At 61.8% G+C, this 17,675-nt stretch overlaps 1 protein-coding gene across 6 annotated transcripts, besides 20 other annotated features; it reads right to left on the bottom strand.

Moving 5' to 3' along the window:
• Window positions 1-209: 209 nt before the first annotated feature.
• On the bottom strand, window positions 210-17,197 carry MNT (MAX network transcriptional repressor). 6 transcript variants are annotated; one of them, NM_020310.3, is made up of 6 exons: window positions 16,777-17,197; window positions 11,012-11,591; window positions 10,442-10,483; window positions 10,180-10,291; window positions 3,994-4,186; window positions 210-3,786 (listed from the first exon to the last, which is right to left on the bottom strand). In NM_020310.3, exons 1-6 carry the CDS (start codon window positions 16,847-16,849, stop codon window positions 3,038-3,040), a joined length of 1,749 nt encoding a protein of 582 aa, NP_064706.1. In that variant the 5' UTR covers window positions 16,850-17,197; the 3' UTR covers window positions 210-3,037. The 6 variants fall into 6 exon arrangements, with proteins under 6 accessions (NP_064706.1, XP_047292048.1, XP_011522170.1 ...); XM_047436092.1 differs by lacking the exon at window positions 16,777-17,197 and adding an exon at window positions 15,352-15,739; XM_011523868.3 differs by lacking the exon at window positions 16,777-17,197 and adding an exon at window positions 14,829-15,129.
• Window positions 2,120-2,944: an enhancer, noted in NCBI's record as "H3K4me1 hESC enhancer chr17:2289277-2290101 (GRCh37/hg19 assembly coordinates)". NCBI's record gives its function as "activates a minimal SCP1, AML or CMV promoter by ChIP-STARR-seq in primed H9 embryonic stem cells {active_cell/tissue: H9 hESC(primed)}" and the evidence as "EXISTENCE:reporter gene assay evidence [ECO:0000049][PMID:30033119]".
• Window positions 4,472-4,973: an enhancer, noted in NCBI's record as "H3K4me1 hESC enhancer chr17:2291629-2292130 (GRCh37/hg19 assembly coordinates)". NCBI's record gives its function as "activates a minimal SCP1, AML or CMV promoter by ChIP-STARR-seq in naive H9 embryonic stem cells {active_cell/tissue: H9 hESC(naive)}" and the evidence as "EXISTENCE:reporter gene assay evidence [ECO:0000049][PMID:30033119]".
• Window positions 8,734-9,223: a silencer, noted in NCBI's record as "silent region_7995". NCBI's record gives its function as "represses an Ori minimal core promoter by ATAC-STARR-seq in GM12878 lymphoblastoid cells {active_cell/tissue: GM12878}" and the evidence as "EXISTENCE:reporter gene assay evidence [ECO:0000049][PMID:35858748]".
• Window positions 8,734-9,547: a biological region, named in NCBI's record as "H3K27ac hESC enhancer GRCh37_chr17:2296137-2296704".
• Window positions 8,980-9,547: an enhancer, noted in NCBI's record as "H3K27ac hESC enhancer chr17:2296137-2296704 (GRCh37/hg19 assembly coordinates)". NCBI's record gives its function as "activates a minimal SCP1, AML or CMV promoter by ChIP-STARR-seq in primed H9 embryonic stem cells {active_cell/tissue: H9 hESC(primed)}" and the evidence as "EXISTENCE:reporter gene assay evidence [ECO:0000049][PMID:30033119]".
• Window positions 9,254-9,533: a silencer, noted in NCBI's record as "silent region_7996". NCBI's record gives its function as "represses an Ori minimal core promoter by ATAC-STARR-seq in GM12878 lymphoblastoid cells {active_cell/tissue: GM12878}" and the evidence as "EXISTENCE:reporter gene assay evidence [ECO:0000049][PMID:35858748]".
• Window positions 9,548-10,114: an enhancer, noted in NCBI's record as "H3K27ac hESC enhancer chr17:2296705-2297271 (GRCh37/hg19 assembly coordinates)". NCBI's record gives its function as "activates a minimal SCP1, AML or CMV promoter by ChIP-STARR-seq in primed H9 embryonic stem cells {active_cell/tissue: H9 hESC(primed)}" and the evidence as "EXISTENCE:reporter gene assay evidence [ECO:0000049][PMID:30033119]".
• Window positions 9,548-10,153: a biological region, named in NCBI's record as "H3K27ac hESC enhancer GRCh37_chr17:2296705-2297271".
• Window positions 9,744-10,153: a silencer, noted in NCBI's record as "silent region_7997". NCBI's record gives its function as "represses an Ori minimal core promoter by ATAC-STARR-seq in GM12878 lymphoblastoid cells {active_cell/tissue: GM12878}" and the evidence as "EXISTENCE:reporter gene assay evidence [ECO:0000049][PMID:35858748]".
• Window positions 10,304-10,393: a silencer, noted in NCBI's record as "silent region_7998". NCBI's record gives its function as "represses an Ori minimal core promoter by ATAC-STARR-seq in GM12878 lymphoblastoid cells {active_cell/tissue: GM12878}" and the evidence as "EXISTENCE:reporter gene assay evidence [ECO:0000049][PMID:35858748]".
• Window positions 14,740-15,311: an enhancer, noted in NCBI's record as "H3K27ac-H3K4me1 hESC enhancer chr17:2301897-2302468 (GRCh37/hg19 assembly coordinates)". NCBI's record gives its function as "activates a minimal SCP1, AML or CMV promoter by ChIP-STARR-seq in primed H9 embryonic stem cells {active_cell/tissue: H9 hESC(primed)}" and the evidence as "EXISTENCE:reporter gene assay evidence [ECO:0000049][PMID:30033119]".
• Window positions 15,119-15,263: an enhancer, noted in NCBI's record as "145 bp enhancer 161/162 fragment used in the MPRA reporter construct; PK_construct_4803". NCBI's record gives its function as "activates an SV40 promoter by MPRA in HepG2 cells {active_cell/tissue: HepG2}" and the evidence as "EXISTENCE:reporter gene assay evidence [ECO:0000049][PMID:23512712]".
• Window positions 15,184-15,199: a transcriptional cis regulatory region, noted in NCBI's record as "ZFP161 motif; enhancer activity is reduced when this motif is scrambled". NCBI's record gives its function as "necessary for full MPRA enhancer 161/162 activity {active_cell/tissue: HepG2}" and the evidence as "EXISTENCE:site-directed mutagenesis evidence [ECO:0005528][PMID:23512712]".
• Window positions 15,312-15,881: an enhancer, noted in NCBI's record as "H3K27ac-H3K4me1 hESC enhancer chr17:2302469-2303038 (GRCh37/hg19 assembly coordinates)". NCBI's record gives its function as "activates a minimal SCP1, AML or CMV promoter by ChIP-STARR-seq in primed H9 embryonic stem cells {active_cell/tissue: H9 hESC(primed)}" and the evidence as "EXISTENCE:reporter gene assay evidence [ECO:0000049][PMID:30033119]".
• Window positions 15,312-16,452: a biological region, named in NCBI's record as "hESC enhancers GRCh37_chr17:2302469-2303038 and GRCh37_chr17:2303039-2303609".
• Window positions 15,673-16,162: a silencer, noted in NCBI's record as "silent region_7999". NCBI's record gives its function as "represses an Ori minimal core promoter by ATAC-STARR-seq in GM12878 lymphoblastoid cells {active_cell/tissue: GM12878}" and the evidence as "EXISTENCE:reporter gene assay evidence [ECO:0000049][PMID:35858748]".
• Window positions 15,882-16,452: an enhancer, noted in NCBI's record as "H3K27ac hESC enhancer chr17:2303039-2303609 (GRCh37/hg19 assembly coordinates)". NCBI's record gives its function as "activates a minimal SCP1, AML or CMV promoter by ChIP-STARR-seq in naive H9 embryonic stem cells {active_cell/tissue: H9 hESC(naive)}" and the evidence as "EXISTENCE:reporter gene assay evidence [ECO:0000049][PMID:30033119]".
• Window positions 16,683-16,742: a silencer, noted in NCBI's record as "silent region_8000". NCBI's record gives its function as "represses an Ori minimal core promoter by ATAC-STARR-seq in GM12878 lymphoblastoid cells {active_cell/tissue: GM12878}" and the evidence as "EXISTENCE:reporter gene assay evidence [ECO:0000049][PMID:35858748]".
• Window positions 16,893-16,972: a silencer, noted in NCBI's record as "silent region_8001". NCBI's record gives its function as "represses an Ori minimal core promoter by ATAC-STARR-seq in GM12878 lymphoblastoid cells {active_cell/tissue: GM12878}" and the evidence as "EXISTENCE:reporter gene assay evidence [ECO:0000049][PMID:35858748]".
• Window positions 17,163-17,472: a silencer, noted in NCBI's record as "silent region_8002". NCBI's record gives its function as "represses an Ori minimal core promoter by ATAC-STARR-seq in GM12878 lymphoblastoid cells {active_cell/tissue: GM12878}" and the evidence as "EXISTENCE:reporter gene assay evidence [ECO:0000049][PMID:35858748]".

The following is a 17,675-nucleotide window of genomic DNA, read 5'->3' on the forward strand; positions in this document are numbered from 1 at the left end:
GGAAATACGAAGCTTTGCAAAAGTTTCAGACCGACCAGAACTGCCATTTTCAGAGCGGCGGAGGCACCGGGTCAGAGCCGCTTGAGGACTATGCTGGGCAGACAGGGTCGAGACAGGTGATCTCACCGCTCCTGCCACATGCTTCCCTACAGGCCTCAGCCTCCTTTTGCAATAAAATGACCCAGATGCTGCAGGCTGGCAGCTCCATCTCAGGTTTCAGTGCAGGTTTATTTCAGTTTTATATTTTATTCCAGGCAAGTGCTTATTACATGGATAGTATTCATGTCTCGGTAACTAAAGTCTTGGAGCATGAACAGCCACTAGAATACAGTTCAATAGTAAAAATACAGTATGTACAAAATTAGGGTTTTTGTAGTTTTTTTTTTTTTCCACACAGCAGATGTATCCAAACACATAAAAATCTCTACAGTCTGGGGTCGCTACAGTTTATATTTCAGGAAACAGAGACACAGTGGCCGAGTCCTCACTGTAAACAAGGGCCACCTCTGGGGGTTGGGGGTGGGACCCTGGGATGGGGGGAGAAGCAGCTGTTTCTGGAGAGAGAAGGGGTCATGGTGGCCCCCCAGTTACCCTCCAGGCATTCCCTGCCTTCTTTGGCCCCCCAAGGAACCAACCTCCCCCTCTCCCCGAGGTAAGGACTCCCAGCCAGTGAGCCACTCTGAACATCAAAAGGTAAAACACGCATGAGAGGTAAGATGTGTGCGTGTGCGTGCGTGTGTGTGTGTGTGTGTGTGTGTGTGTGTCCCAGGCTGGAAGGGCTAGGGAGGGAGGGCCAGGCGGTCCCACAGGGTGAGGACAGATGTGGTCCCGACAGCACTCTGGGGGAGACGCCCAAGGAAGGGCTGGGTGGTGACTGCCCACTTGGGCACACAGCATCACAGCGTTCACAAACGACAAGAAAAACAGCAACACCCATCGTCACCAATCTGGACATAGTCATTCGGCACTAGATTTGCAGGCCCCCGATGCTGGGGGACAGGGACGGGGAGGGGCAGCGGGTGGATGATGAGGTATCTGTGCAGGCCCGGGGGCCACTGGCCTCAGGATGCAGGGAGAGGTGGGCAGGCTGAGGGGAGGGGCGAGCTCCACGAGGCTGCTCTAACTGCCCCGTGGGTCAGGCCTGCCATCGCTGTCACAATGGGAATAGCAAAGCTGGCTCTCCCAGAGCCACGGGGTCTGGCGGAGGTGGCTGTGCTGGGGTGGGTACAGGGCTCAGCCTCTGAGGATGGTGACCTGGTTTGTAACTGTCCCTTTACCCACACCAGGAGAGAGAAATAAGGAACAGTCCCCTGGGAGGTGTCCAGGACCAGGAGGGAACAGGAAGGGAATTTTTAGGCATCTAAGGATTCTTTATTTCCAGAGAAAATCTATTCAAGACCTTTGCTGACCTCCTCTGTGCCTGCAGGGCACTCCAGGAAATCCTCAGCTCTGTCCCCTCCCCCCGGCCCCCTCGCCGGCCCAGGCCCCTGCCCCAGCCCATCAGTGTGAGCTTCACATCCAGGGACACCGGCTTCCTCCCGCTACACTGAAAGGCCACTGGTGAGTGTGTGTCCAGGTGGGGAGCCGAGCGTGTCTGACACAAAGCCACTTGTAATAAACACCCACATACAAGGAAAGGCCAAAGCAGGCTGCCCAGAGGCAGAGAAAGCCGCATCCTAACACAGAGCCCCTGACTCCTCCCCCTTCCACGCTCAGCCCTGTCCTTGACCCAACCAAGGACCTCTTCTCAGAGAAAGGTGCTGCTGCTCTGCAGCTCCCCGGGCAGGGCCCACTCAAAAGCGTCCCCGGGAGAAGCAGGGTGTTGAGGGGATGGGAGGACAGAGGCAAAGGGGCTGGAGCAGAAGCAGCAGCCCTAGCTCTGGCCCTCTGTTCTGTATAGGTCCCAGGGTTGGTCTGGGGACAGGCTTAGGGCTTGGCTAAGCCGCTGGGTTTTTACCTTCCTGATGTCTCAACGATGTGGCTTCTATGCTCCTGGAAACAAGACCAGATGCTGGTCCATGTCTCCCAAACTGCAGGAGGCACCCAAACCCACAGGCCGCCAGGCCCACCTGTCCCTTGGAGCAGTGCCCAGCACTCAGCAGAGGTCAGAGATCAGGGGCTGAACGCAGGACAGCGCCCCTCTTTGCTGCCTTCTGGAAGCCAAGAGCCAAGCCCAGGGCTGGGGACTGGGGACTGGGGACAGGGGCCCAGTGGCTCTCCTCCCATCCAGACCCAGGCTGCAGGGGACGGGGAAGGGGAAGGACAGCCAAGTCCCTCCTTCCCCACCTCAGCCTGCCCTCCTGAGGTCCAGAGCCCAGTGGCAGGGATTGGGGTGAGGGCACAGGAAGCTTGGCAGTGGCTGGGTTTGGTTTATTGTTGGTAGAGAATCATTTTAAGTAGTATCTACGGTAACGAATCACAGTGACTGCAACCGGGTCAGAGAGCCCCAGGCTGAGGCCCCACCTGTCCGGGTGGGACTCCAGACCAGCCACTTCCTATGATCTGTCACCTGTGCTCAGAGCAAGGCCCCTTATCACCCCAATCCGCAGCTTTCTGGGCCAAGTGGCTTCAGTTCTGCTTTCCCCATTTCCCCTCCAAAGGCCTGGGAAGAGAACATGAGGCTCCGGAGGAAAGCCGGGGGCCTGGGCCACCTCACCAGACAGCAATAGCAGCAGCAGCACACGAAGGCGGGGCAGGGCGGGGGAGAAGTCAGGGAGCGTGACGTCCACATCGCACTGATTTCCGAGGGTAGGGAGGGGAAGCAGGAGCGGCACTGGAGCTGGCACTGGGCCGGACAGGTGGCACATTCCATCAGAGTCTCGCATTTTCTCAGAGTCATCTTACCAAGTCCTAGTGCAGCAGGGTGGCCCTTCCCTCCCTTGGCTCAGAGTCTTTGCACCCCCTTCCCCTAGGAGGCCTGGGGGTGGGTGGGGGGGCTGGCCTGGGCCTGGCTGGAATGTGTGGAGCTGGTGGGTGAGAGAGTGGGGGACAGGTCCCCCTCCCTGTCCCCACTGGGGGCCTCTGAGTGGCCTCGTCCTCAAGCCAGCTTGAGTGTGCTGACTGGGAAGGAGGGCATGGTGACCATGGTCACAGGGTTGAGCACGGTCTGGCCCACCAGCTGGGGGTGGTGCACCACCTGAGCCCCCACGGCCGGCTTTGCCATGACAGTAGCCGGGGGCCCCAGGCCGGCCGTGCCGTTGACTTGCTGGTGCGAGAGGGTGTGGGCGATGTGGCTCACTGCCACGGGCTGCGGGTACAAGGGCAGCTGGGAGCCCAGGTGGGCCACATGGTTGAGGGTGGCAGGGTGCACAGTGATGTGCCCAATGGGGGGTGTGGCAGGCGCCAGTTGCACCGCAGGGCTGGGGGCCGAGGGGGCGATGTGGGCGATGTGCTTGCCGCCTGGCCCCTGCAGAACGTGGTTCACAGTCTGGATGACTGAAGCGTGAGTGGTGGCTGTGTGGGCGATGACCGTGGAGCCACCCCCAGCCGTCGCCACCAGATGGGCTGGAGCTGGCACCAGTGTCTGGGCAGGGGCAGCCGGTGGGGGAGGAGGGGCTGGCAGAGGGGTCTTCTGCTGTGGCTGCTGCTGCTGCACGGGGAGGTGGGCAGGAGGTAGGGCCACGGAGTGGGGGTGAGGGTGTGGGTGTGGAGGCAGAGGCGCAGGGGTGGTGCTGGGGGGTGGCAGGGTGGACTTCAGCAGCTCCGGCTGGGGACGATGGCTCAGCTTAGGTGGGCCCAGGCCCGCCCGGTCCTCCTCCATATCCTCGTCTATGTTGTCCTCACCCTCTGTGGGGAACATGGGGCAGGGAGCAGGTCAGAAGGGCGGGGAAGCAAGTGGCTGGAGGCGTAGATGCTCGTGGGGGCGTGGGAATGTGATGGGGCTGGGGCCAGGGCCATCTTTTCTAGCAGGCAAGAAAGAGCCTGGCCAGGGAGGCTGGAATTTGAGGTGTAACATCTGAGGGCTGGGGGGCCAGCGTGGGGGCTGGGGCTCACCAGAGGCGGTGGAGGTGGAGGCCTGGTCATCCTCGGGCTGGCCCGTCTGCCGCAGCACGCGGTCAATCTCCAGTACGTCCATCCACTGGCTCAGCTCGTGCTTGAGCTCTGCCAGCCGCTGCTGCGTGGCAATCTTCTCACGTGCCAGCCGCTCCATTTCATGCTCATATTCCTTCTCCTTCCTCTTCAGGGACTGGCACACAGAGTAAGGGACAGCAGGACACCCTGAGCAGCAGCCTTGGGGCCCAAAGCCCCCACAAACCTCTCCCTATCAGCTGGCCCACAGAGGCAAGTCCGTGGCAACCAGCGGGCCCAGCCTGACGGGGGCTGCTGGAGACCGCACCTGTTGTGGTCCATGCCCCTGCCCAGTGAGGCCCAGCGTCCCAAGGAGTGTGGGCTCTTGGGACAGGCACCACTGAAGCAAGCTCAACCAGGTGTGCAGGTCCTTCCCTGTCCTCCACAATTCATCCTCAGGGGCTTCTCCGCCTCTCGCCCCATCCCTCCTCCAGCAGCCTCTTCACTTTGCACACTTCTGCCGCGAGCTACCCTCTAAGGAACCTGATCCTGCGCTTCCACCTCACCGTTCACTTGTCTCCCTGGTAACATCAACATCCTTGCACGATGAGCCACTAGGCAGTGACACGCCCTCGCCCCATCTCATCTCCAGGACTCGCCTCCCTCCTGGCTGCTGGTCTGCACCTGCTCCCCGACCCCCTAGGCGACTCTCCACTGTGCCCGCCTGTGACGCTTCTCGACGAGGCTCCATTTACATGCTGCTCCCCATCACCCTGCCCACTCCCCTCCAGACTCCCTGGGCTGAACAACCCCCAAGCCTAGGAACGTGCCCCCTGTACTTGGGCTAAACCGATCCATGAGAAATGGCTGTTGCGTCCCATGACCCAGCTCCCCTCCACACTCAGTCTTTCCCGTGCTCCAACCCGACACTTCATCAATCCCACCCTTTCAAGTCTCACAGACCTCCCTGCTGGCAGCTTTTCGCCCAGGCACGTCATGACCAATGTGTCCACCAGGCAACGCCGACACGTGTCCTTGCTGCCTCCCGAGTCCCTTTCTTGGCCTGCTCTCGAGCTCCTAGCTTCCCAGGCTTACTGGTCATGTCCAGGTGCAGGGCCCGCAGGCTTTTCACACACACAACTCACCAGCCCGCCTTGGTTTTCCTCTCTGAACCCCGTCTGCCCTCATCACACACAGATCCTCCTCCCTTTACCCCCTAGATCTTATCTGCCCGTGCTCCAAGACCACATCTCAGCCCCTACCTCCCCCACTGTCCTTCTGTCTGCCACATCCTCCTGCCTCCAAGCCCTTCCAGGCACCGCACCGTTTTTTTCGAGGCTGGTTTGGATTTGGGGTGGGTTTTGGTTATATTCCCCTCCCCCACTCTCCCTCAATTTTTTTTTTTTACTGTTTGTTTTTTTCCAACAGAGTTTCGCTCTTGTTGCCCAGGCTGGAGTGCAGTGGCATGATCTTGGCTCACTGCAATCTCTGCCTCCCAGGTTCAAGCGATTCTCCTGCCTCAGCCTCCTGAGCAGCTGGGATTACAGGCATGTGCCACCACACCCGGCTAATTTTATATTTGTAGTAGAGACAGGGTTTCTCCATGTTGGTCAGGCTGGTCTCGAATTCCCGACCTCAGGTGATCTGCCCGCCTTGGCTTCCGAAAGTGCTGGGATTACAGGCATGAGCCACCGCGCCCGGCCTACTAGTGTTTTATCTTTGATTCTCTGTCAGCCCTCACCCCTGGTTCTTGCCTTTCTTGATCAACACCTTTTCTTGCCTCTGTCCCCTTCTCTCCCTGTATCTCTCACTCCCCTCCAACCTGGGGGACAGTGGTGTGGAGGAGGAACCATAGGCCTGAGAGTCCATCTGCACTCCTTCCTGGAGCCCAGAGGCAGGAGAAGGGGGTGGTGTCTCCAGCCCCCTGGCACTGAGGAAAAATGGGGCTCTTCTCACTCCACCCTTCCCTTCCTACCCTGCACCAGGACTGGGCCACTTCTGGGTGGGGCGGTGGGTCACAGATTGGCTCACACTGAGAATGTAAGAACTGCAAACAAAATTTCTATTAAGTTTTCTGTCTCAAAAAAAAAAAGCGGGAGGGTGAAGAAAAGAGCCCCATCTGCCTGGGCAGTAAATACGAGGCTGAAAGATAGGACTTCATCAGGAACCGGCTCATACAAAGTCTCTCACATACATGTTTTGTCTTTCCGCCTCAACACACACTGTCCCTGTCCGAGCTGTGAATGAAAGTGAGAATGGCTGCATAGTCCGTTTAGATCCCAGAGCCCACAGGCGGCCAGGAAGAGCTACGCGCAGGGTGCTTACTCAGCCCCAGGGGAAGGACCTGGAAGAGTGCTGTCCCGACTCCTGGTGACCATGTTCCTTCCCACCTCTGTCCTGTCTCTTCCCTGCATCGCAGGGAGAATCACAGTAACCCATTAGACCCAGGTTTCCCTTCTTTCATCCCCTAGGGCGGGGGACCCCAAACCCCAGGTACTGGTCCGTGGCCTGTCAGGAACAGGGCCGCATGCAGGAAGTGAGCAGCGATGGCGCTCTGATCCTGTCACATCAGTGGGACATTTGGTTCTCACAGAAGCAGAAGCCCTCCTGTGAACTGTGCACACCAGGAGTGTAGGTTTTGTGTGCTCCTTAGGAGAGTTTGACTAATGCCTGATGATGGGAGATGGAACACTTCCATCCCGAAACCAGCCCCGCCCTCCCTCTCCATGGAAAAATGGTCTTCCAGGAAAATACTCCCTGTTGCCAAAAAGGTTGGGGATCGCTGCACTAGGAGCAGTTTTGCTGTTTTGTAGCAGCTTTTCCTGACCAGGCCTGGCAAAGTCTCCAACCCCACCCACCAGTGAGGCCAGCTTCCCACACCCACTCCTGCATACATTTCTGCCCTCACCAGTGACAGATGTCTCTAACCATTAGTGCCGGCAACACATAACCCAGGTAGAACCGTGCTCTGTACTGGCCTGAAACCTGGCAGCTTGACACTTCTGTTGCCAGTCCCAGGCCACACACAGCCCTCCCTCATTCTGGCTTTAACAGTTTCTCCCCATTTTCTGCTAGGAAGACAGTAGGAAACTCCCTTGCCCCTACACACACACCTGTGTGGCTTTTCTTTTTTTGGAGACAGAGTCCCGCTCTGTCACCCAGGCTGGAGTGCAGTGGCATGATCTCGGCTCACTGCAACCTCCGCCTCCCGGGTTCAAGCGATTCTCCTGCCTCAGCCTCCCGAGTAGCTGGGACTACAGGCATGTGCCACCAGGCAGGACTAATTTTTGTATTTTTAGTAGAGACGGGATTTTGCCATGTTGGCCAGGATGGTCTTGAACTCCTGACCTCAGGTGATCCACCTGCCTCGGCCTCCCAAAGTGCTGGGATTACAGGCGTGAGCCATCGCGCCCAGCCTGTGTGTGGCTTTTCACCTGGCTCTGAGGCTCTAACAAGGGGCCCTAGGTGAGTCAGCTCTCACTTGAACCTTGCTGCTGGGGGCTGGAAGCAGCAGTCCTGAACTCAACCCACCTGTGGGTAGGATATAGTTCTGGGCCAGGGAGTGACATGGGTCAAAAGCTTCTTCTTCTCACCTAGTCCAGTTCTTCACAGGCCTACAGACCCCTGCAAGGTTTCCCCAGGGTCTAACTTTAACCCACATTGCTTCAATCTAAACCCATTTCCTTTCTGTGACTACCTGGATGCACGGTTTGGTACCTATTTTTCTTGTCTCTGTCCACTTTACTGTGGCTGTCTTCAAACCTTTGACCACCTCCAAGCCACTCCGTATTCTGGCTGGGGACCACTGCCTTCTTCCTGCAGCTTCCTGCTCTCAGCAAACAACCAAAGCTCCCAGTCTACACAGCCCCACTGGTCTCTCCAGGACCAGCTCTTGATTCTGCCTGTCTCTGAGTGACAGCCTCCTGACCATGTTTGTGTTTGTTCTTAGAGACGGAGGTCGCACTCTGTGGCCCAGGCTGTCCTCGAACTCCCTGGGCTCAAGCGCTCTTACTGCCTTGGCCTCCCGAGTAGCGTAGCTGGGACTCAGGTGCAAGCCACCGTGCCTCACTTTTATTTCCAAAAAGCATCCTGTTCCCTCCTGCTGGAGAAACTGGGCTGCCCCTGGGCTCTTGGCCTCCACTTTGCTCCGTGCCACCCAGACTTATCCTGCAGGTCTCAGCTCAAAGGTCCTTTCCTCAGGAACAGCTATCCTCCCTCCCCAGAACAGATCCCGCCGCCCGGTCCCTATTATGCCCATACGGCCGCCTTCTGTAGAATGACTTGTTCGTCATCTGCCACAAGACCCAGGCTTTTTTACTTGCTCGCCACCATTCGCCCAGAAGCAGAGACTTCGCTAAAAGCACCTCAATGAATAAATGAATAAATGGTTTGTAGACAGGCCTTTGAGGTTCCTGCTTCTGTGACCAGCACCAGAATGGGTGTCCCTTCTGCACAGCCTGAGTGAGGCCTACCCCGGCTCCTACTTCACCGGGCCCAGCTCCTCAAGAGCTTCCTTCTGCGGCTGCTGCTGAGTCTTCTTCCGATTCATTTCCAAACCCACACGTTACGCAAGGCGCCCTCTGCAAGTAGTATCTGCAAAGAGGAACTCGCCATGCCGTCCTTCCTATTTCTCAAAAATAATAGCTAAGCAAATGTCGGGAGTGCAGCGAAGTGTCTGCATGAACACCCTCAGCCAGCCCTGCGACTAAACTACAACCAAGCCCAGGTTCTGCAAAACGATTCCAGAAATAAGCCACCGGCCTGCCGCGGCCTCCGGAGCCCTCTCCCGCTCGGCGCCCCGAGGCCCCACCCCGAAGCACGCGCGCACCCACGCGGCCGCGGCTTCCCTGCGTCACCCTCGCCGGCTGCACCGCCCTCCGCGACTCGAGAGCACCGCCCCCGCCCGCTGCAGCCAATCCGCGAGCCCGGCCCCGCCCCTCCCGGCTGCCCGGAAGCGGCCTGGAGGCGCGCCAGCCCCGCCCCCTGGCCGGGAGGGCGGGCGGAAGGGCGCGTTGGCGGGAGGCTGGGAGAGAGCTGCCCCCCTGGAGCAGTCGCGAAGCAGCGCCTCAGCCCCTCCCTCAGCAAGTCAGGCTCCGGTTACCTCAGGGCTGTGACCCCGCGGTCGAGGCCGGGGGAGGGGCGGCGCCCAGCGGCTGGCTCCTCGCGCGCTGGACCCTCCTCGCCACCCCTCCCACGGGGCCCGTGACGCCGCGCCGCCCCCGGAGCTTCCTCAGAGGATGGACAGGGAGAGTCCCGGCTCGCCGCCCACCCCCCCCCCAACGCGGGCTGGGAGCCCCACGTCCCTCCATCCCCTACGGCTCCGCGTCTCCGCGGCTGCCGGCCCATCCCCCACAGCCTCCGGCCCGGCGCGCGGAAGCCCCGCCGGTTTCCAGGGAAACCGAAGCTCAGGCCGCCATGGCAACCGCCTGACGTGGCGGCGCCCCCGGCCCGAGCACTGCAGAGGGAGCGACGCCCAAAGGGAGGGGACGCGCAGCCGGGAGGGCCCCGAAAAAAGAGACACCCCCTCTTCCTAGCCCAGGAGGAAGGAAAGCGTGACGTGTTTCAGGCTCGGCGGCCCCGGGGCTGTTTGCCGCCCAGTCAAATCGGAGTTTTCCCCGCCCCAGGCGTAACCCCACACTCGGGCCGTGGCGCCTCCACGCGCGCTCCGAAAAGACCTTCCTCCTTTGGGGTAAACGGGGCTCGGCCCGCGCCGCAGCGTGGACGGGGACCACGCCCAACCCTCCCCGCAGATAGCTACAGACATTCGGGCGGAATCTGGGCTCCCGCCCAGGCTCTGCGGCCGGGGAGGAGGCGCCGGGCCGCCCCATGCCCTTCCCTCCCGCGGCTGCACCAACACGCGCGAACGGGAGCCGCCATCGGGACTCGCACCAGGCGTCACGGCGCGCGCCTCACGGCCCCGGGGACGCCGAGGCTGCAGGGGCTCGGGAGCGGCGCGGGAGGGGAGCCGCGCCCTCCTCTGCGCACGCGCGCCCTCCCGGGCAGGGAGCCCCGCTGACGTCAGCCGGGCCATGTGCTCAGCGCCCGCGTGGAGGTGGGAGGGAGGCGCGGGGGAGCCGCCGGGGCGTGAGGGCGGGGCGGGGCGCGGCCGGGGGAGGGGCGGCGGAGGGAGGGCGGGGGAAGCTGCGCGACGCCGGCCTCCGGGCCCCATACCTGGATGTACCGCAGCGCCGTCCGCAGCACGCTCAGATTGGACGTCTTCTTGTCATCCACGTTGGGGATGTTCCGCTTCAGGGTCTCAAAGCACTCTTTCAGATGGGCCCTCCTGAAGAGAGGGGCGAGCGCCGGTCAGCGGTGCCTGGGGCGGGGCTGGGACGGGGGGAGGCAGGACCGGGGAAGCTGGGGCCGAGGGCCGCCGGGGCCCGGGTCGCGCGCGCACGCACGCACGCACACACACACACACACACACACACACCTGTTCTTCTCCAATTTGTTGTGGACTTCTCTGGTTCCGATCCTGAAACCCAGACAGATAGGAGGCTCAGGGAGGAGGACTCGATTAGACGGCCTTCCTGACCAGCGCCGCCACCCGCAAAATTGCCACAGGCTGTTTGTCCCCAACACTGTCTTAAAGCAGACTGGGAGACGTTCGCCCTGTGCCATGCTGCGCCCACCCCCTGGAGGACACATCTGTGCTCATAATCACAACTCCTGTCACCCTCCGTCCCACCAGGAGGGAGACAGGAGGACTCCTGGGACTCAGAGGCAGCCGGTTGACCCCAGCCCTCACCCAAGAGGCCCATACTCTGTCCAGAGGCCTGGGAATGCCATAAGCCTCAGCCTTGGACTGCGTTAGGAAACACAGAAGCCTGGGAACGGGGGGCAATGGGACATTCCTTCCCAGGATAGACATGGGCACAGTGATGACGTGTTCAAATACAGGGGGCACTTCTAAGCTGGGGAGGGCACCTTGTCTTGCACACAGCCCGGGGGATGGGCACCTCTCCTATCCCCCACCAGCCCGACCCCGCCACACCCCACTCACCCCCCGGGCCTCTTCTTCTGTTCACTGGATTTGACTTCTTCAGCTGGTGCCAACTTCAGGGTCCCCAGCGTGGGTGGGGGCGGCTGCTGGGGGGCCAGCTGAGGCTGGACTCCAGGGTGTGGCGCTATGGTCAGGACAGGCGTGGGGAGGGGCTGCAAAGGCTTGGGGCTGCCATTGGGTGGAATGGTGGCCTTCGAGTCCGGCAGTAGGGGAGCAGGGGTGGGCACCTGCGGCCTGCTGGGCAGGGGGGCAGGCTCCTTAATGCTGAGTCCGGGGGCGCCAACCAGGGCCGGCTGACGAGGCGCCAGGGGCAGAGGCTGGGCTGCCGCGGGCAAGGGTGGGGGTGGGGGTAGAGGCTGAGGGGAGTTGGTCACCACAGGGATAGGGATGACAGTCAGTGGGGCAGGGGTGGCAAGTGGTGGTGGGGGTGCCGGCGGGGGAGCCGGTGGAGACAGAGGCAGGGGTGGCGCCTCCATGCGGGGTTCCTCCACAGGAAGGGTATGTGCCAGCCTGGCCAGGCTATTGGCCTTCTTCTGTTCCTGCTCTCGCTCCTGCTCCAAGCGAAGCCGCTCCTGCTCCTCTACACAGAGAGAACACAAGGGGGGGAGGGTCTCAGCGGGGCCCCAGAACTCCAGCCCTAACTCGTCCTCTGACCCTAGCCCAGTCAGTACTCAGTGACACCCCTGCTCAGCGAGAGACACCACAAATAGCCTACCAGCCCAGCCAGGCACGGGGGAAAGTGCCGGGGGCACAGCAGTGAACAAATCAAGCAGACCTGTTCCCCGCCACCAGGGAATAGTAGGACAGTCACGGGGGCTGACAGTCACGGGGGCTGACAGTCCGGGCTGCGGGCAGGACAGGCGGCCCTGGAAAGGTGGAGCAGAGCTGTCAGAGGGTGCTGCAGGCCACCTGCCAGCCTGCAGGGTGAGGAGGAAGGCGGGTGAGGGCAGCGAGGGTCAGGGGACCACAGGGCCGAGGTGGGAGAGGCGGGCAGAGGCCCAGCCACCCAAGACTTCACACCAGAGGGGGGGGTGTGCTGACAGATCCCAGCTTCCGTGGAAGGCCTTTAACAATGTTTACCAAGCACTTTCTAGAGGGCAGGCAGTGCCTGCATGGCACAGATGAAGTCAGTGAAGCTCAGGGAGCAAAGTGATTCGCTGCAGGTCCCACAGCAAGCCTCCTGACCCCTGGAGGACGCTTGCCGTGCTCACAAGGAAGTGCTGACAGTCCCTGGATCCTCACAAGAGCCCCACGTCACATCATGGGCAGGACAGGGACATCACCCTCATTTCACACATGTGGAAACAGCCCAGCACTCTTGACTCCGAGGCTAGGTCCCAATGCCTGTTTTCCTCAGGGACCATTCAACAAACACACTTCGTCCCTCTCTGACCCTTCTCGTGTTATAACTCATTTTCCCCAAATCCCCAACATCCCCACCACCAGCAGCAGCGCCAGCATGTCCTGTCCTTCAGGCCTAAAGCATCCTCTGACATCCTCAGTGACACCCCGCTCAGCCTGAGACAATACAAATACCCAACCACTCCAGCCAGGCACCGGGGAAAGTGCACCTGCCTGGTTCTGGGTGAGAGAGGGCAGTTGAGGAGGAGGAGGTACAGCAGCGACCATTTCTCCCAAACAAGAAGGGGCTGGGCTCTTCAATGGGGGCTGAGCAGGGCAGTGCACCCCACCACCCGCTCAGCATCCCTGCTGAAAGCCCAGCAGGAAGGCAAGGCCCACTCAGGAGCTGGCTGCCAACAGGGGAAGGGGAGGCACCTCCATCTCCCGCTTGCCTCGTCCTCTCCCAGGCGCCACCATTCTGGTTCCCTGGCTACGGGGCTGGCCCAGGCCCTTGGAGTCTGCAGACTCCAGGCCAGGGAGCCGCCGGGACAAGCAGCCCTCTCCTCTGACCCCGGACGCCCGCCCCGCTCCGCTGACGAACGCAGCAGACAGCCCGGGCTCGTGGACACGCCCCAAACACCCGGGCAAGGGGTGGCGTGGGGGACTGGAGTCGGCTAAGGCCCCCTGGGGAGGAGAGCACCCACCTCCCACACTCTTACTGGCTCAGGCGCCCCAGAAAACCTGAGGCCTCAGGCCCTTTGGCCAATCAACAACTGGAGTGTGAGCCAGGCCTGCTCCCAGCCCCGCCCTCCTGCAGAGGGAAGAGGCCGAGGAGGAAGCGGAGGGGGAAGCGTCCTGGGAGGGGAAGCCTCAGTGGTTTCCCAGCAGCCGGAGTTCAGGGGCTGGGCCAGCCAGCGGGCCTCTTCCAGATCTCCCTAGCCCTTCGGGAAGGGGCGATGCCAGGCCGGTGCAGGCCTGCTCCAGTGCGGGGAGGCCTTAGGTTACGCCCGGGAGAAAACCAGCCCTGCGCTCCCGCTTCCCACAGACCGCAGTGGCCAAGCAGCCTGCTGAGTTCCAGTGACAGGGCCCTTCTCAGTCGGGCACAGCCTCAGTTGTCCCCAGCCCCTTCCCCTACCCCAAGACAAGGCTCTGGATCCCAGGGCCTAACACAGACCCTGCCTCCATTCCTTTGGCTGACACAGACCTAACTTTTCATTGGCCTTGAGACATGGACTCCACTCTTTATAGGCAGAGGAACAATCAGGGCCCTCCCTGAGTCACAAGGACATGTGGGACCCTAGAGTGCAAGCCAACCCCCATTCCCCATATTTTAAAGCAATCCCAAAGCTCACCTGGGAGGTAGCAACCTCCTTCTCACCTGCCCTCTCTCACCCAGAACCACGCCGGTACACCTCACAGGTGCCAGGAAGGACCCAGTTACACCTGGAGCAGCATGAAAAAGCTCCACAGGTGGTGAGGAAGAGGAGCTGCCCCTGGCCAGATCCAGCCCACCGGAGCTTCCTGTCCCTTCCCACCCAGCGGCAACCCTCTCCCTGTGCACTGGAGAACCACCAAACTGGTGGTGGCTGGTGCTCCCTCAGGAGCACCCTGCGCTTAGGCTCTTTAAAAGAATGTTCTGCACATCCACCAGACAGGGTGCGCCCCCTCACATGCTTCCCTGGGCTCCACCCAGAGGCTGCCCCCAAAGAATTTAGCATGCCCCTCTGCAGTGACCCAGGGGCCAAGGCTTCCGCCCACAGTCAAGAGCAGAGCCAGCGTGCTCCCTTCAACCTTCCCAAGTGACTGTGGCCCAGGTGCTCTGCAGGCACAGGGCTAGGGGTGGAGGAGTCCACACTGGTGGGCCCCAGCAGCCACAGGAATTCTCCCATCTGCACGCTAAACAGGAGGCTTGGTGCCTAAGGCAGGCCCAGGGTAAGCCTTGGAGAGTTGGTCAGGAGCCTCTGGACACTCCAACCAACTCCCTCGAAACAAGGCAGAAGAGTTGCATCTGAGCCACCTCTATGAACACTAGAAATGACCAGGCCAGGCCTTCCGTCTGGGCACCAGGATAGCTCTGCCCTTTCCCCTCTCTCTCACAGGCACACACATCTGCGGGGTCCTCATGTGAGCAAACTGGCTGGTCTAGGTCAGAAACCCATGCTTGCGGTTGAAAGGGAGAAAGGACAAGAGGATCCCTGTCCAGAGCTGGTCCTAGGTCCCGGGAAAGCGTTCTGGTCAGCAGGTTCACCTGCCATGCCCTTCCTTCCATTCGTCCTGCCCCAGCTCAGAGGACAGAACCTCAAGAGGGAGAAGAAAATGAATTCTGGAGGAGAAACTGCTGGGATCGGTTCCGGACACCCGTACATGAGTTTTTGAGTAGATCTAGCTTTCCGCACCCACTCATCTACAAAGACCTCTGACCGGCACACAGAAGTCGTGACCAGGCCGCTGAACTCGGCCTAAACACAGTGCGTACTCGAACTGCAACGTGTTGATGGCGGCAGCAGGTGACTTAATCTCTCCGAACCTTGTGCACGGTCTTCCCCTGACCCCTGTGCCCAAACGTAGGACATTCTTGGTCACCAGGGGCACTCTCCACTGCCAGACCCTGCTCTGGACCATCAAGGCAACAGCCGGGGAGTGTGGGCGATGTCCCCGCCCATCACTTCTGCAAAACCCAGGCATCTGAGCCTCACATATCTCCAGTGACTCTTGACCTTGAGAGGCCGGTCGCCCCGACTAGGCCGCCGGCCCCGCAGCTCCCCCGCCCCTTGCCCGCTGCCGCTCCCCCCTTCCCCCACCCCCGCCCGCCGCGGCGGCGGCACACGGCGGCGCGCGCGCACACAACACACTACTACCTCCTGCATGACTCATCATTGAAGCAACAATAGGCAGAGAGAAAGGAAAGGAGGGCGAAGCACTCTCCAACACAACCAACCCTGCCGGGGGATTCTGGGGGGCGGGGAGGGCACAGGAGTCCCCGGGTCCTGCACACACACCGTTCCAGAGCCGAGGCCCTGGCAGCACCCTGGAAAAGGGAGGTCTTTCCCGCCAGCCCCTCTGCAGCACCCTGAAGCCAGGGACCACCAACAGGGCGCGTGAAGATAGGAGTCATTAGTCTCTTCCCTTTCGAGGGAGCGCCGAAGTTTGCCCTTTCTCATCCTGGCTCATTCCAGCGTGGCCCCGGCTGATGCCAGGGGGCATAGTTGGAACGTTTTGGGGGTCAGTGGAAAAATGTGAGCTCTAAATGTCTCGTCGCCCTGCGATTCTGAGGGTTTCCCTTGCCTCGGGATCAAACACAGGAGGTTAGGGGCCAGAGCCGACAGGTGAGCTCGGCTCCTCCCTCGCAGGGCAAAGGCTCTCCCTGGGAGGTGCCCAGAGGCCGGGGCCCGGGCCCAGGCCCAACCCAGCGCAAGGCCCCTTGCCAGCCCCGCCCAGGCCCCGCCCCCGGCCGAGCGCGAGGCGGTGAGGAGGGGCCGGGCCGCGCCGTCCCCAGCAGGAGTGTCCCCGGTGCACGTGGTCGGGGGCGGAGCCCGTCCACGTCACCACCCGGTGTAACCAACGGGCTCGGAACGCAGGCACACGCAACATTCCAGGCGAGAGCGGGTTTGGAACGCGCAGACACGCCACATTCCACACTGGCTAAAGCGGGGCGCAGCGAGGGGGGCCCGGGGGCTGACCCCCAGCGACCCGCGGGCCATTTCGCAAACGCCCAATTAGCCCGGCTTTCACCCAAACCCCGGACGCGCAGCCCAGCCCAGCTCTGGGAGGCGGGGTCAGGCGGGGCTGGCCAGGATCATAAGACACGCGATGTCATTTCATTCTGCAAAGGCCGCCTCCGCCCCAAGCGGCGCGTAGATCTGCCGGGAGCGCCCCCCGCACCCTCCCCACGGGGCCAGGGAAGCCGAAGAGCTGCTCCGCGTAGAGTAGTCCCCACCCCCACTCCGTTACACACACGCCCACTCGTGTGCTATACACACGCCCGTGTACACGTCCGTTCATCTGCTCTTCCCGAGGCTCACATCACACATCCCCCGTGCACACACGCACGCACACGCGAGCCTGCCACCCCCACGCAACACCATTCCTCACCCCACCCCCCGGCTCACACATCCTCAGTGCCACCGAGGGCTCCGCTGGCCCACGCAAAAGCAGCCCACCACAGAAGGGGCACAGGGGTGCCACGCAGCCGGGGTGGCGCCCGCAGGAGCCAGGTCCCTCGCAGCATGTTAATGAATTCATTAATTAATTTCACTGCCCACATCACCCCTCCCCAGGCGGCGGCTCTCGCGGGGAGCCGTGCGCTGCCAGGCTCCGCAGGCCGCCCGGGAGGGGGCCCTGTCCGCGGTTTCGCGTGGGTTCGGGGACCGGGGTCACTCGCTTCCCCTTCCCCAGTGCCCCAGGGGCCCAGCCCGGCCGCTCACCACGTGCTCTCTGTTGTTGCTGCGCTTGCCATTCCAGGAAGCGGGCCGCCTCCAGTAGCGTCTCTATGCTCATCGCGCCGAGAGCTGCCGGGGGCGCGCCGGGGCCGAGGCTGCGGCCCGCGAGCCGGGCACAGGTCAGGCTGGCGGGCAGGCAGGAGGGAGGGATCACCTCCGGGGGGCGACAGGGCTGGGCGGCGCAGCGCACTCCGCAGGGAAGAACGGGGGAGCACGGGGAGAAAAATCAATGTCTCTCAAAATATTTGCAAAATATAAAATTGCAAATTTAAAAAAATGGGATGCAAAAAAAAAAAAAAGGCGGCACTGCCTCCCTTCTTCCCCTCCCTCTCTACCTCCCTTCCGATGCCTCCCGCCCCGCGGCCCCCGGGAGTCCCGCCGACAAGAAAGGGCTTTGCAACAAGATGGCGAGGAGGCACCGACACACACAACAAGGGAAGGAGCCGCGCTGCCCCCGGCCGCCGCCCCCGCTACTACACCGGGGCCACAGCCAAAGCCCGGACCGGAGCCCCCGCCCGCAGGGCCGCGGCGTCTCGCGAAGGGAGGGGCGGGTCCTGCGCTGCTGGCCCCGCCCCCCGGATCCGGCGCGCGCACACGTGGCCCGGGCAGGGAGGGAGAGGTCCGAGCGGGGTGTGCGCGCCGCGGTTCCGCTTTCCTGCTGGCCCCGCCCCGGCTGCAAGCCACAAGTTGGGCCGGGGCGGTGCGTTTGGGTCGTTCACGACGAAATCTGTCCTGCTGGAGGGAGGGTAGGGTGAACAATTCAAGATTTAACAGAGTTCCAACCAGGATATTCCGGGTCAGGGAAACCTTGGGAATGGCAGAGACTGGCCTGACCCTGGGTCTCCACGCTCCACCCACTCGCGACCTAAATCCCGCAATCGCCG

The sequence above is a fragment of the Homo sapiens genome, chromosome 17, assembly GCF_000001405.40.
Source record: "Homo sapiens chromosome 17, GRCh38.p14 Primary Assembly".
Taxonomy (NCBI): Eukaryota; Metazoa; Chordata; class Mammalia; order Primates; family Hominidae; genus Homo; species Homo sapiens.